The sequence below is a fragment of the Homo sapiens genome, chromosome 4, assembly GCF_000001405.40.
Source record: "Homo sapiens chromosome 4, GRCh38.p14 Primary Assembly".
NCBI classification, from domain to species: domain Eukaryota; kingdom Metazoa; phylum Chordata; class Mammalia; order Primates; family Hominidae; genus Homo; species Homo sapiens.
Genome location: NC_000004.12, coordinates 95,927,135 through 95,942,867, shown reverse-complemented (window position 1 = coordinate 95,942,867; position 15,733 = coordinate 95,927,135). Strand labels below are relative to the sequence as shown.

The 15,733-nt window shown below is 34.7% G+C and overlaps 2 annotated features.

The window, feature by feature from the left end:
* Positions 275 to 774: an enhancer, noted in NCBI's record as "H3K4me1 hESC enhancer chr4:96863245-96863744 (GRCh37/hg19 assembly coordinates)". NCBI's record gives its function as "activates a minimal SCP1, AML or CMV promoter by ChIP-STARR-seq in naive H9 embryonic stem cells {active_cell/tissue: H9 hESC(naive)}" and the evidence as "EXISTENCE:reporter gene assay evidence [ECO:0000049][PMID:30033119]".
* Positions 775 to 1,276: an enhancer, noted in NCBI's record as "H3K4me1 hESC enhancer chr4:96862743-96863244 (GRCh37/hg19 assembly coordinates)". NCBI's record gives its function as "activates a minimal SCP1, AML or CMV promoter by ChIP-STARR-seq in naive H9 embryonic stem cells {active_cell/tissue: H9 hESC(naive)}" and the evidence as "EXISTENCE:reporter gene assay evidence [ECO:0000049][PMID:30033119]".

Below are 15,733 nucleotides of genomic sequence, written 5' to 3'. Positions count from 1 at the left end.
CAGAAAAATGAAACATTGGGTTAAAAACAGATTTGGTAAAGAAGTGGAAATTGGGAAATGCAATGCCACCAAAATTCTAGTTGAAACTTGGTGGTTTGCAACAGTTTAGATTGTTCTATGTGGATGGTTTTTGAAGTTAACTAATAACTCCATACCCAAGAAGATTTTAAGTTCTAGGTCACCTATGATATTTTCATGGAAAAACTCCTTTCCTGGAGTATTGTAATTTAGTACTGACTAATGTGTTCTAAAAATGTCACTTTCAGTACTAGGAGTTCTGTGATCTGTTTCCATGTTGAAACTGACTTTGCCTGCTGATTACTGGATGGTTTGAATGAATTAGCTAGCCTTACACAACTATGCTGAGCCTTTGCAAGTTCTAGGAGGTCTTAGGAGTCTCAACAAGAAAAATTCAGCCATTGTAGGGTCTTACCAGCCTTACAAAGGCAAACAATCAGAATCAGCAAAAGCTCAAACTTTAGATGATGTAGGTTCTAAAGAACAGGCTTCTACAGCTTTCCCTTGGTCTATGTTAGTCCAATATTTGCTGAGCTGGTTCGGGGCAAGGATTGCATTTTTAAAAAGGAGTCTTTCATTTTGCAGCCATCTTAGAAATTAGGAGGCAGGGCCGGGGGCAGTGGCTCAGGCCTGTAATCCCAGCACTTTGGGAGGCTGAGGCGGGCGGATCACGAGGTCAGGAAATCGAGGCCGTCCTGGCTAACATGGTGAAACCCGGTCTCTACTAAAAAAACACAAAAAAATTAGCCGGGCGTCGTGGCGGGCGCCTGTAGTCCCAGCTACTCGGGAGGCTGAGGCAGGAGAATGGCGTGAACCTGGGAGGCGGAGCTTGCAGTGAGCCGAGATTGCGCCACTGCGCTCCAGCCTGGGCAACACAGCGAAACTCCGTCTCAAAAACAAAACAAAAAAAGAAAGAAAGAAAGAAAGAAATTAGGAAGCAGAACACAAGTGTATTTTTTTCAGATTTTTTTAGGCTGGTCTTCTAACAACCAAGATTCATTTCTCCTAAAAATAACTACTCTGCACACACATAGGCCACCCCATTTATGTTGTTTTTCATGTTGTTTTTTAAACTACATTCAGTTCCACAGGAATAATCTGAGAAAGGGCTAAATTCTTCAACTCAGGTGACTTTTATGAGCTCTTAAAGGTTGCTTACCCTGCATGTTTCCAACTTGGCTCAGTATATTTATACATGTTCTAACTATGGATTTTAGCTAATTCACTCATAATAGAGAGATTTTATGAATCAACAAAAAGTAAAGGGAGCCACATCAGAAATAGAATGTTCCATATTCTCTGCTTGGAGCAAGAAAACAAACTCAGTTTATTACAGACACGAAGACTAAAACAGCAAATTCAAAAAGCTTGTTCTTAAAACACTATCTGAGAAGTCAAATTTGCACATAAAATAAAAAAAGTGGAAGGTATTAACAAAGGTGTGAAAGTATAGATCAGCTTTGCTTTTATATCAAGAGTGGTAAAGGATGAAAACCAAAGAAAGAAAGACAAAATTATTAAGTTCAGGGTGAAAACAGAGATTTCCCTAGGAGAAAGGTGCACATATTAAGAGAAAACCAGGTAGACATGAAGATTAGTTTGTATCTTAGAGATCATGATATGCAAATAGAAAGAGAAAACAATATACTCACTTCTAGCTTCTCTTAAAATATCTATGGGAAAGGGGGAAATTTTGTTGCCATTAAATCAGTAAAAGTTGTAGGGAACTAGAAAAATTTATTAATTGCCTTCTCGAAAGAAAAGCCAAATCTGAAATAATCTCCAGGAGTGGCCAGAGTCTAAGAAAGGATTCGTGGTAGCTTCTTAAGGACATGAAAAGATAATTTAGAGTAATAGTAACTGAGGAGCTACCCTGTACTAGTGAAGATGGCTTTACAAAGTGGTTGCAGAAAATCTGGCAAGATTGGAAATGGGAAGAACAAAGAGATCAGTGGAAAAGAAAAAGAAAAATCCACACCATCAACAAAGCATAGGTATTTGAGTTTCAAAGTGATAGAACCATAATAAAATGAGCATATGAACATTTACTGTGCCTTAGATTAAGACCTTAAGGCCAACATAGGAAAGGTGAAATATAGAAAAAAGAGAGCAGGCAGGACAATCACAGATTACATTCAGGCCTGGGTTGAATGTTTTTGAGGGCAGTATATTTCTTGTGTGGGATTATCCAATTCAAATAAAAGAAGAGCTAAGCGTGTTGGCATGCGCCTGTAGTCCCTGCTTCTCAGGAGGCTGAGACAGGAGGATCACTTGAGGCCAAGAGTTCTATGCTGTTGTGTGCTATTGTGCTATTATTGCATGTGTGAATAGCCACTGCACTCCAGCCTGGACAGCATAGTGAGATGCCCATTACTAAAAGAAGTAATAATAGTTTTTTTTATAAAAAGAAGGAGCACAGGATTTTGTCAAACTGTGAATGCTTTTATCAGACCCCAAATTTCTGAATATCCTTTTTCTCACTAAAAGAGAATGCAAAACAAAATTTAGAGGATGATGTTAGAAAATCACATATCTGGGCCATAAAGCAAAATTAAATAAAAAAAGCATGAATGCACAGAATGCTAGTGTTATGGTTTGAATGTGTCTCTTCCAAAATTCAGGTGTTGCCAATGCGATAATGTTAAGAGGCGGGGCTTTAAGAGGTGATTAGGTCATGAGGGCTTCTCCCTCACTGGGATTGGGTGCCTTTATATAAGGGCCTGCTGTTCTGTCTTCTGCTGTGTGAGAATGCAGCAAGAAGGCCCGCAGGAGATGCTGGTGTCTTGATCTTGGACTTCCCTCCAGAACTGTGAGAAATAATTTTTTTTATTAATTATCCAGTCTCAGGTATTCTGTTATTGTAGCAGAAATGGACTAGCCAGCAAATTATACTGGCCCTACATGTAATCAAGGAAAGAGAGAGTTAAACATCAATTTAAGAAGCAGGTTAGGTTTCAAGAAACTACTGAGTCTTCTTGAAAGTGGTATAGGCAGGTGAAGGGGTGAGGGATAAAATATTACCTATTGTGTACAAAGTACCCTATTCAGGTGATGGGTACACTAAAAGCCCAGATTTCACCATTATACAATATGCCCATGTAATACAACTGCACTTGTGCCCCTAAATTTATAAAAATAATGTAGTATAGAAATAGTAGAGGTAAATTGGCCATCATATCACATCACTTTAGGAAAATAAGTAGAAATAAATGCTAATACATACTTAGTATGTTCAAAAATTGTAGAAACCCAGTGTCTTGAAAAACTCCAGTGGCACAGATCTTCACTAGTTTCTAAGAGCAACAACAAACTCAGTTGATTAACCTGGAGAAGGTTATTCTCCAGCTGAAACAAATGTGGTGATGAGTGAGACTACTTCCCTAAGAAGCAGGTTGTATACGAGAGATTCTCAATCCTAACAGCATACTGGAATCACCTGGAGAGCCTTTTAAAACTACTGCATTCACAGACATGCTTCAGAGATTCTGACTTAATTAATTTGGGATAGGGCCTAGTCATCAGTACTTTTAAAAGCTCTCCAGGTGAGCCTAATGTGCAGCCATAGTTAAGAACCACTGTTATATAAGCATCAGCAAATGATTCTCAACCCTGGAGGTATGTTAGACTCTCATAGAAAGCTGCTAAAATAAATCCAAGCTTGTACCCAAAGCCAGAGGGTGAGGTCTGGATACCAGTATTTTTGCACAGCTTCCCCCAGTAATTCTAAGTCACAGCCAGAGTGGATGAATACGGGCTCAAGCAATCCACAGCAAGAGGCATTGGAGGCAGTGATTGGTCACAGGCTAAAAAATCCCTGCAATTTATCTCTGTATTTAAATACTGAGATGCCAGAAACACAAGGCTCAAACGGAAAATGGAAATACAAAGCTTTTCAATATGGAAGAAAGTCACTTTGATTAAGACCTAGACGACTGAAAATTCTAAGACTGGAAAGTCTAACTTATGAAAAAATTCTACAAAATTTCAAATCCTATTCTTTGAGAGAAGAGACAGTTTATATGCGATTTCCCCCTAAATATAGTGCCTTTGACCCAGAAGCTAATATGAATGTTACATTTTTCTTCATTTTCTTATTTTCATATTTATTCACTGTGGCTAGTATATAGAAATACAATTGATTTGTATAATTAATAACCTTGTATAATTTATTGTATACATATTGTATAATATGTATACTTATGTATGTATACATATTATTTATGTATGTATACAATATGTAATGTATACATATTGTATAAATATCGTATACATATTATTGTATAAATAATAACCTTGTATATTTATTGTATAAATGATGACCTTGAATTCAGTGAGTATTTAGATGGATTGATTTTCAGTTGTTGACTCTATGTTCAAAATTATCTGTGCAAAATGACACTTTATTCCTTTTTCATCTATTTATCTTGACTTTTTGTATTGGCTGAGACCTCTAGCAAAAATATTGATTAGAAGTGTTGATAATATTTTTTAATAAGTTTTAATTTCTTTTCTTTTTTTTTTTTTTTTGAGATGGAATTTCGCTCTTGTTGCTCAGGCTGGAGTGCAATGGTGCGATCTCAGCTCACTGCAACCTCCGCCTCCCAGGTTAAAGCAATTCTCCTGCCTCAGCCTCCCGAGTAGCTGGGATTACAGGCACCTGCCACAACGCCCGGCTAATTTTTGTATTTTTAGTAGAGATGGGGTTTCACCATGTTGGCCAGGCTGGTCTCAAACTCCTGACCTCGTGATCCACCCACCTCAGCCTCCCAAAGTGCTGGGATTACAGGCCTGAGCCACCGCGCCTGGCCTTTTCATCCCTTCTATAAGGGCGTTCATTTATGTTTCCCCTCTTCCCTCCCCAACCTCCTCAGACAATATCACCAAGTGTTTATTAGTTCCATTCAAATTATTTTCTTATTTCTATTTTTTGTTTGTTTTGCTATTCTTTTCTTTATTTCTTGAGATGTGTAACATCACTGATATGCAATCTTTATCTTCTTCAAATATATGCATTTAATTCTATACATTCTCCTTAATGTTTCAGTATGCTACATTTGTTACACAATTAGATAGGTTTGTCAGAGTTTGAATTCCTTCCTGGAATCCCCACTTCAATCTCCTAAATGATTTTTGAAAGTTTAACTTTCTATGTTGTAAAATCTGTGTGTCTGACAAATACATAATGCCATGTATACACCATTACAGGATTATACAGAATAGTTCAGCTTCCCTAAAAAGACTCCTGTGTTTCACCTATCCAACCCTCCCCACTCCCCCAGAACCCTTGTCAGCTACTGATCTTTTTGTTTCTATTGATTTGTCTCTTTCAGAATATCATACAGTTTAAACAGTAAAGTATGTAGCCCTTTCAGACTGACTTTTTTTCACTTAACAACTTGCATTTAAGGTTTATCCATATTTTTCCATGCCTTGATAGCTTTTTTGTTTTAATCATTGAATAATATTTGATTACATGGATGCACCACGACGTTTTGTTTCTGTTCACCTATTGAAGGACAACTTGATTGCTTCCAGTTTCCAATTGTGAATAAAGCCTCTATAAAAATTTATGTACAGTTTTTATGTGTACAAAAGTTTCAAATCAGTTGGGTAAATATATATAAGCACAAAGGTTAGATCTTTTATTAAAAATAAACCGCCAAACTATTTTCTAAGGTGTGCCATTAGAAGATAGTTCCCACCATAAATGAGTGAAAGGTTCTTTTTGCTCCTGTACCTCACAAACATTTGCTTTTGTCAGTTTAAAAAAGTGTTCAGTCCTTCTAGTAGGCTAATATAGTGGTATCTCATTGTTACTTTAAGTTGTAATTCCTTCATGACAAATATTAGAAACTTTCATAATTTTCTACCATCTATATATCTTCTAGAGATTTTTTTCAGATCTTTTGCCCATTTTTTAATCGGGTTGTTTTCTTATTGGTAAGTTTTAACGGTTTTTTGAATATTTTGCATATAAATTCTTTATCAGCTATAGGATTTATAAATATTGTTTTTCTGGTCTGTGGCTTGTCTTTTCATTCACTTAAAAGTATCTTTCACAGAAAAGGGGTTTTAAATATTAACACATCAATTTTTTTCTTTCATGAACTGTTCTTTTGATATTGTGTCTAAAAACTGATGCTCAAATTCAAAGTTACCTAGATATTTTCTTATGTTCTAGAAGTTTTTTAGGTTTCCAAGTTTTATAGTTTAGCATTTAGGTTTATGGTCCAATTTGAGTTAATTTTTGCAAAAGCTATAAAGCTTGTATGTAGGATTACATTTTGCATATGGATTTCCAATTCCAGCTTCATTTGCTTAAAAACTATCCTTTCTGACCTGAATTGTCTTGGCTGCTTTATCAAGGATCAATAAATTGTAACTGTGGGTTTCCACATGTAGATTCTTTGTTCCGTTCCATTTATCTATGTTTATCCTTTCTCCAATACCATGATGTCTGGTTTACAGTTGGCTATTCAGTAAACTTGAAGTAGGGTATGTCAGTCCCCAAGTTTTGTTGTTCTTTGGTGTTGTGTTAGCTATTGTAGAAATCTCACCTTTTCACATAGACTTCAGCTCCATTTGTCAGTATCTACAAAATAGTTGCTGGGATTTTTATGGGGCTTGCATTGAATGTGTCACACATAGATGCTGTACATGCTTTGTTAGGTTTATCACAGTGTTTCAATTTTGAGGAGGGATGCTAACAATATTGGTATTGTTTTTAAACTTCAAATTCCAATTGTTTGTAACAATTGTTTGTATGTAGGAAGGTAATCAACATTTGTCTATTGGCCTTACATGCTGAAACTTTGCTATAATCTCTTATTTGTTCCAGAAGTACTTTTTTGTCAATTATTTGTGGCTTTCTATATAGACAAGTGTTAAGTTAACTGTACTTTTTTTGTACATGTTCTCTATTTGAAGAAGTTCCCCTCTTTTCCTAGTTGGCTAAGAGTGTTTATCATGAACATGTGTTTGACTTTGTCAAGTGTTTTTTTTTTCTGTGTCAAATGATTATAATTGTATAATTTTTCTTTTTTAGCTTGTTGATATGATGGATTATGTTATTTTATTTTCAAATGTTGAACTAGCCTTGCATACCTGGAATAAATCTCATTTGGTCATGCTATATAATTCTTTTCATGCTTTGTTAGATTTAATTTGCTGATGTGTTAAGAATTTTTGTATCTGTTCTTCACAAGGTGGCAGGAAGAAGTGCCAAGGGAAGAAGGAAGAGCCCCCTAAAAAATGATCAGATCTTGTCAAAACTCATTCACCGTCACGAGAGAAGCATGGAGGAAACTACCCCATGATTCAGTTACCTCCACTTGGTTTCTCTGTTCACACATGCTGATTACGGGGATTGCAATTCAAGATTAGATTTGGGTGGGAACACAAAGCCTAACTATATTAAGAAGTGATCCCTAGATATCTATTTTTTGAATGGTATTGTAGAAAATTATTATTTCTTAAATGTTTCGTGGAATTCACTGGTGAAGTCTGGGACTGCAGCTTTCTTTTTTGGAAGGTATTAATTATTCAAATTCTTTAATCAATATATACCTATTCAGATTATCTGTTTCTTCTTATGAGGAGTTTGTAGTTTTTATCTTTCAAAATATTGATTAATTTTATCAAAGTTATCAAATTTGTTGGCATACAGTCGTTCGTAGTATTCCTTGATTATCCTTCTAATACCCATGAGATGACCCTTCTTTTATTTCTGATATTGGTAATTTTTATTTTCTCTTTTTTTCTTCGTTAAAGTACCTACAGCTTTATCAATTTTATCAATCTCTTCAAAAAAGAAGCTTGAATTTTTTATTTTCTGTATTTTACTGATTTTAATTACATTAATTTCTGCTCTGTTTTTTATTTCTTCTGCTTGCTTTATGTTTAAATTGCTCTCTGTTCTCTATTTTCCTAATATGGAACTTAGATTATTAACTTTAGGTCTTTCTTCTAATATATGCATTTAATGCTGTAGATTTCCCTCTATTCATTGCTTGCTGCATTTCACAACTTTTGATAAGTTGTATTTTCATTTTCATTTAATTCAAAACCCTTTTTAATTTCTCTTGAGGCGTCTTTGACCAAAGTGGTATTTAGACATATGTTGAATCTGTATTCTTACTGACCTTTTGCCTCTTTGACTTAGTAATTACTGATAAAGGAGTGCTAGTCTCTAACTATAATAGTGGATTTATACATAAACTTAAGATTTTTTTATCTCTTCTTGTGTAATTAACCACATTATCATTATTTAATACCCTATTTATAACCAACAGTTTTCCTTGTTTGAACTCTGCCTTGTCTGAAATTTATATAATTACTCCAGCTTTCTTTCGAATAGTACTAACATGGTATATCTTTTAACTTATTCAATTGCTAAAATTTAAAGTAGGTTCTCATAGATAATATGTTTGGGTCTTGTTGGTTTCCGCCCAATTCTGACAATCTATTTTTAAATTGATTTAAGTGACTCACATATGAAGTGATTATTGATACAGTTGAATTAATATCTTTCTATTATTTTAATGTGTCCCTTAAAGTTAATATGTTGAAAACTTGATCCCCAACCTATTGGTGTTGCGAAGTAGGGCCTGTTGGGAGGTGAAGCCTAATGGGAGATGTTTGGATCCTGTGAGCACCTCTCTTATGAGTGAATTAATGCTGTTATTACAAAAGTAGATTTGTTATAGCAGGAGTAGGTCTCTTATATAATGGATGAGTTCAGTCCCCTTTTGCCCTCTGCCCTCCTGCCATAGGATGATGCAGCAGGAAGGCCCTCAGAAGATGCTGGCCCGTCAGTCTTGGGCTTTCCAGCCTCAAGAACCATGAGTCAATAAATTACAGCTCTTTATAAATTAACCAGTCTGTGTTATTTTTATAGCAACTCAAAAGGACTAAGACATATTTATTATATTTGTAACTATTTTCTATTTGTTGCTCTTCTTTTTTCTTTTCTTCCCCTTCCTTCTGCCTTTGCTACTTTTAAATGAATGTTTTATTATTTCAGTCTCTCTCCTCTCTTGCTATTCAATTATACTTTTTAAGATTTTTGAGTTGTTGCCTTAAAATTTGAAGTATAATCACAACTAATCTGGATCCACTTTTAAACAGCAATGTATCCCTTCATGTGTAATGAAGATGCTTTATACCAAGTACTTTATTTACAAGGCACTTTATGAGTTGAATTATGGAATTCAACCCAAATTTCTGCCCCAAATTTGTTAGTCTTAATCCCTTTTTCTCTTTTTAAAAAATCTTATTCCTTTTTTCCTGTGCCTTTCAGTTCAAAAAGTTACTAGTGAGTCTGCAAGCTCATTAATTTCCCCTCCCCCATCCCCATTTTGGTCATACCCAGTCTACCAATAGACTCATTGAAGGTGTTAACCCTGAAAATCTAAGACAGGTCTCAGTTAATTTTCAAAGTTTATTTTGCCAAAGTTGAGGACATGCGCCCAAGACACAGCCTCAGGAAGTCCTGATAACATGTACCCAAGGTGGTCAGAGCACATTTTGGTTTCATACATTTTAGGGAGACATGAGATATCAGTTAACATATGCAGATGAACATTGGCTTGGTGTGGAAAGGCGGGACAACTCAAAGCAGGAGGGGGCTTCCAGGTCATAGGTCTGTAAGAGACAAATGGTTGAATTCTTTTGAGTTTCTGATTAGCCTCTCCAAAGGAGGCAATCAGATATGCATTTATCTCAATGAACAGAGTGGTGACTTTGAATAGAATGGGAGGCAGGTTTATCCCAAGCAGCTCCCAGCTTGACTTTTCCCTTTAGCTTAGTGATGTTGGGGGCCCAAGATATATTCCTTTCACAATGCTCCCCTAACCTCCACCACCTTTTGTAAAATCTTTTGGAGAAAGTTTTTTAGAAGATAATGAGTCTCTGGTTTCAGGTTTTGTCTGATCTCTCATGGCTAGGATGGTTTATTCCTAGACATGTAGATCCTGAGTTATTAGGAAAGCTCATTTTTAAAAGGTTGTGAAGTCACATGTCCTGTGAAGAGAAAATAGGGGGAGCAAGGGAGGAAAACAACAAATTAAAGAACAATCCTGGAAAACTGATATAGGCCACATTACTCTGAAGTTCATACATCAGTAGGCATGTATGAAAGTGGCTTATGTACGTAAATAGGTTGCTGTTATTTTTTCTGAAGTTGTCTAGCTTCAGTTCACAGGGCGTTATGAAAACACAGCTTATTTTTCATTGACTCCAAATTTTAAAAAATGGAAAAAAATAATTGAAAACACTATTTTGGAGACTTGTAGGTAAAAAATTTAGAATCTTGTATAAACTGTAGAAAATAGTAAAAATTTAAACACATTAGGTAAGACTGAATCTAACAACAGGTATACTATAGTTTTTGAAACACAATTTTTCTCTCTCCAGTTTCCCATTCTTACTGAAGACAAACCATGGTAGGACTGGTTTGCTTTATCATACTTCGCCTAATTATGTATATACAGTGCAGCAAGAATAATTATTTTTTACATAGGCTTTTAAATTGGCGTTGATGAAACTTTGTTCCATAGAACACATCTCAGGTAAGACTGTTAAAGCCCAGCCCAGCCTTGAATTTGTACCATCAAATACCTATGAGTTGGGTGAATTTCTCTCCCCTTGAGGTTCCTAGATAAATTTGGGGCTGCTGGGCCTGTCAGAAAGTGACATTCTTTACTTACCACAGGACAGGAACTCAGTACAGGGACTGTGTAGACAAAGGTATGAGGCCAGTTTTTCCAAGGGACTTTTATTGGCTCCATAAGTCAAGTTTGATGCCTAAGAGGAAAGCACACCATTCCAGTTAAAGCCTTGGTAAAATAACCATTTTATCCAATTATATCCTGTTATAAATGAAAACAGATTCTTATTGCACTGATGCAAATAACTGTATTGTCATAACATAAGAATACAGTTTCGAAATTCTATAAAAATCAGGTAGAGAGAAACAAACATGCTCCAAATTTTGTTCATAGGAGTATACTCAATTTTTAAAAGGTGTAAATAGCTTTTAAAAACGTTTTCTTGACTCTGAGAAACAAAACAAAGAATCGGCAACATTTTAATCAAAAAGTTACAAAAATTACTTCAGACTCTTATTAGTTGAGTCCATGCAGTTAGTTGCTGTTCTGCTTGATATTCATGAACATTTCAGCTAACCATGTGTCCTAAGGTTTTTCCTCTATTCTGATGTCATAATCTCCAGAGTTATCAGAAATTTGCATTCAACAGCACCTGTTAGAGTTTTATAGCTGATTATAAAACCACCTTCTAAAGAGGTCCAAAACAAGATAACAATTGTCTGTGAATGACAAAAAGTTTTAGGGCAGTCAAAGACACAAGTGACAAGGAAATTTATTACCACTGTGGCACACAATAATTTAGCATAACAATTACAATTATTACTAATAATGTACATTAAGTCATATCATAATTATAGGTATTTCCCATAATTTTGGAACACATACCAATAACATATTTATACAAAAACAGCCCAAAGAAAAACCAAGCACCATCTTATATTTGACAATTCTTCTTGTATAATTTTTATACCAAATAAGCCAAATATGTCATTTTTGGAGTTTAGGGAACCTATTAATATCTTAAAGGATTAATTAGGTCAGAAAAATACATACTTTATAATTTGACTTTGGAAAGTTTGTCAAATATCAAATATTAAAGGTTACAAAATATTAAAGGTTATAAAAAGGATCACAGGTCATTGTAAAATGTCATTCATTTAACCAAAGTGACAACTCGATTTCAAAAAAAAGGCAAAAACCTTCATTCTCTGAGAGAGGAGACTTAATTTTCTTTCTTTTTTTTTTTTTTTTTGAGACGGAGTCTCGTTCTGTCGCCCAGGCGGGAGTGCTGTGGCGCGATCTCCGCTCACTGCAAGCTCCGCCTTCCGGGTTCATGCCATTCTCCTGCCTCAGCCTCCCGAGTAGCTGGGACTACAGGCGCCCGCCACTGCGCCTGGCTAATTTTTTGTATTTTTAGTAGAGACGGGGTTTCACCGTGGTCTCGATCTCCTGACCTCGTGATCCGCCCGCCTCGGCCTCCCAAAGTGCTGCGATTACAGGCGTGAGCCACCGCGCCCAGCCGAGGAGACTTAATTTTCTACACAATAAGCCCTAATAAAAACAGCAAGAAGCCAATTAAATTTGTTTTCTAAAATTTTATGAACAACATGAAATTTTTGTCTTTATCATAAGTTATGACTTCCATAAGCCTTGATAACCTTTAATAAGGAGTTGGTTAATGCCTCAAGAAAACCTTGTTACTCCGACACAGGGTTCCTATGCTGGTTTTGTATCAGTGTGTCTTTGACATTAGTGATTAATTTATAGAGAAACAACTTATTTTATCTCTCAAAATCAGCCCATACAATTTCACACACCTACCTCTTCTGCAATAGTCCCTAGGCCTTGAAGAGTTAAATAGCTTTAATTTCTGAACCTGTAACTCAGAAATGCAGTTTATTTTGCTTGGCATCTCCTACTGGGCCTGAAGATGAGCATTTGTTTTCAGTGTTTAAGATTTAGTAAGATTTATTGTTCTTTTTAAACCCAAAAGTCAAAGCCCTCCAACTCAATGTCACAAGGACTTTAAAAGTATATACAGGAAGATAGAAAAATGTAATAACCTTAATTTAAAAAATTTACATCTCAGTTTTTCCTAAGCAAACCAAACTTAATAATGGCATAGGAATTATTTCGATAAATGTAAAATATGTTAGGCCAGTTACCAAAAGGCAAAATAAAAGAATTTCTGGAGTGCACAGAATATTATGTTGGAAGAAAACGTTTCCTTTAGACCTTTAAGTAAACATTGTTAGCATCAGGCCACAAATAACAGAACCCAAGGAGGAAAAAGAAAAAAACTCATATGAACTAAAAATGAGTTGAAGGGGAGTGTTACTATTTCACACCTTTTAAAAGGGGAGAGAAAACCAAAACCAACAAGATGTAATAAAAGTTGAACTTTGGGTTAAACAATGTTAAAAATTTAAAATCTCTTACAATCTATTAAGAGTAAATCAAACCACTTAAGAAAATTTCATTGTTCTAATTCTTTAGTGTGTGTCTTTTTTTACATTAAACCAAATCTCCAGAGAGACAATTATAATTTCCCTTTAATCATAGACAACTTGATCATATAAAAGTTTTTGGTTTTTTTTAATAAATCCTTTTATTGTGACTTTTATAGACTGTTTATGACATGCTTGGACTTTCTGGTTTGTCCTGAACATCTATCCCTCCTTCTTAAACAAACAGTCATTTTATTCTAGGACTAAATTTACCACACAAGAGTCTTTCTTATATGAAATTATTTCTCTTTAAGCTTTCTTATCACCAAAAAACTCTTTATTTTTATAACTTTTTTTACATCTCTTTTATTTCCTGGTTCTTTTTACCTTGTTTTATATGTGACCTTTAAATAAGTTTCAAATTAGATAAAAATTGCTTGCTTTTTTTTTGAAAGGACATACTTTTTTTCTTTTGGAAATAATGTTTTCCTTCAAATGTATCTTTATTGGAAAATACCCAAATGATTAAATAGTTATTATTTAATTTAATATAACTTTAGAGTCTAAATTATGACAAGTTTATCTACAAATATTTATCCTATTGTATTTACCCAATTACTTTAATTGTTTACCTAGATTATTTATAAAAACCACAGTGACTGTCATTATTTAAAGTATGAGACAGCCATTGCTAAATTATAACTGGGACTGTGAAAAATAGTTGACCTAACTGACTCCATCTTTTAAGCTCCAAGCTGTCCTTGTTCATTCCTGGGTGTAGGCTGAACTAACTTGGGGAGAAACTTAGTTTATAGTTTAGCTTTGAAGCAAAGATGATAACTTTCCCAAAACAAACCTTACTGTTTGTGGACTAGACCACCTAGAGCCATGAGATTAAAAGTTATGGTAATCTTACTAAATTTAAAATGTAGCTATTTTTATTAAGCCAATATAAATGTCTTATTTATTAAAGATTACACAAGCAGAGATCATTCTGTCTTGGGCTGGGTCTATAGTTTTGTACCCCCTATGCCAAATTTTGACACCTTAAAGTATTTGTCAGGGTTAAGTGTGAAATTGTTTGATTAATAAATGTAAACAAAAATGTATGCTGGGAATTCTTAAGACATTTCTAATATTACTTTACTAATAATTTTAAAGCTAGCTTATTAAAGATTTTACTTAAGTTGCATAAACTTGAGCAAGAATTTGAGTAGTCTTTTTTTCCTGATGAAGTATTTGATTCAAGTGGTTTTACTAAGCCAATTAATTAGAGCTCTTTCATATATTTTCAGTAGTGAAACATTGTGTACAAAACACATAAATATATACATGTATTAGACATGCTGGTGGAAGTACATCTTATAGATTTATAAAAACCTTTTTTTCCTATCTTAGACTTTGTTCTTGATTACCTGTTTCACAACCCTAGGCAGTTGTCAGCTAAATAGCCTTAAATTTACATATTAGAGGAAACAACTCAGTTGAAAATCAAATAGATTTATATCATCAGATACAGAGAGAAAAAAGTCTGGTGGTGCTACAGTGAGATTAAAGATGGATGTCAAATCAAACATAAAATTATAGAAATCTATCATAGGATTGTATAAGGAGACCAATTTTATTTAGATAGGGACTACCTATCTTTTGACTGGATCTCTGAACTCTAGCCAGAGTCCACACTGAATCCTGAGTCTTCAAAAAGGGAGAATTATTATGAGATTAGACTATCTGATGCTGTTACAGTACGCTTAAAAAATTGTTTTTAAACAAAGACATTTTTAAGTGTCTAAACCATACTCTTCCTTAAAACCCCAAGAGTAACCTTTATTGCAATAAGTATTTTAGTCAAAAAACAAAACAGGTAACGCAATACAAAAGTAAGCAGTTTAAGATCTGAGATGAACTTGTCTGTTTACATTTTTGGGGTTCCATAAGAAAAACAGGTTTTTTCTCCTAGGGGAGTCTGGTGCCTTCTCCATTTTATTTAAGGAAGGCAGGCTATTATAAACTATTTTAGGTCGCCCATGCTGCAGAGGATACAAGAGAAAGGAGAGATAGCAGAAGTAAATGAAGAAAACAGAATTCAGTCAACAGAGAAGAAGAAAAACTTTTGCTCAAAAAAAGACAGGTCCTAGGAGAAAAACAAAAACATGAAGACATTTTAAATACAAACACATGCATATACATTTATATACATACATCTTGGGGGTTAGCTTTTAATTAAGCTGACTTTTAACCATTGAGTACATTAAAAAAAATCTTTTTAAATATCATTACCATATTTCAGCCAGGACAAATTGCTGCTATTTCAGGAGTATAGCCATTGCTCTTTCAGTTTATCCTGGCTAGCAAAAAGGTGGCTTTGTTATGTAAGTAAATCCCCTTAGTAGTTAAGACCAAAAACGTTTCCTCTTTTTTTTTTTTTTGCCTTTTTCTGGCCATTTGCCATTTCTCTCCCCCACCCCACCACCCTCTGTGTGTGTGTGTTGGGGGAATTTAGCCACTTCAGAGGCCTTCTCCATAATTTGGAACTTCCTTTGGCTTTGATCAAGTCAAATAGAGTTGATCAAACCCAATGAGAAAAAGACTAAAACAACAACGAAAACAAACAGCAACAATAAAAATCAGTTAAGCCAATGGGAACACATGGACACAGGG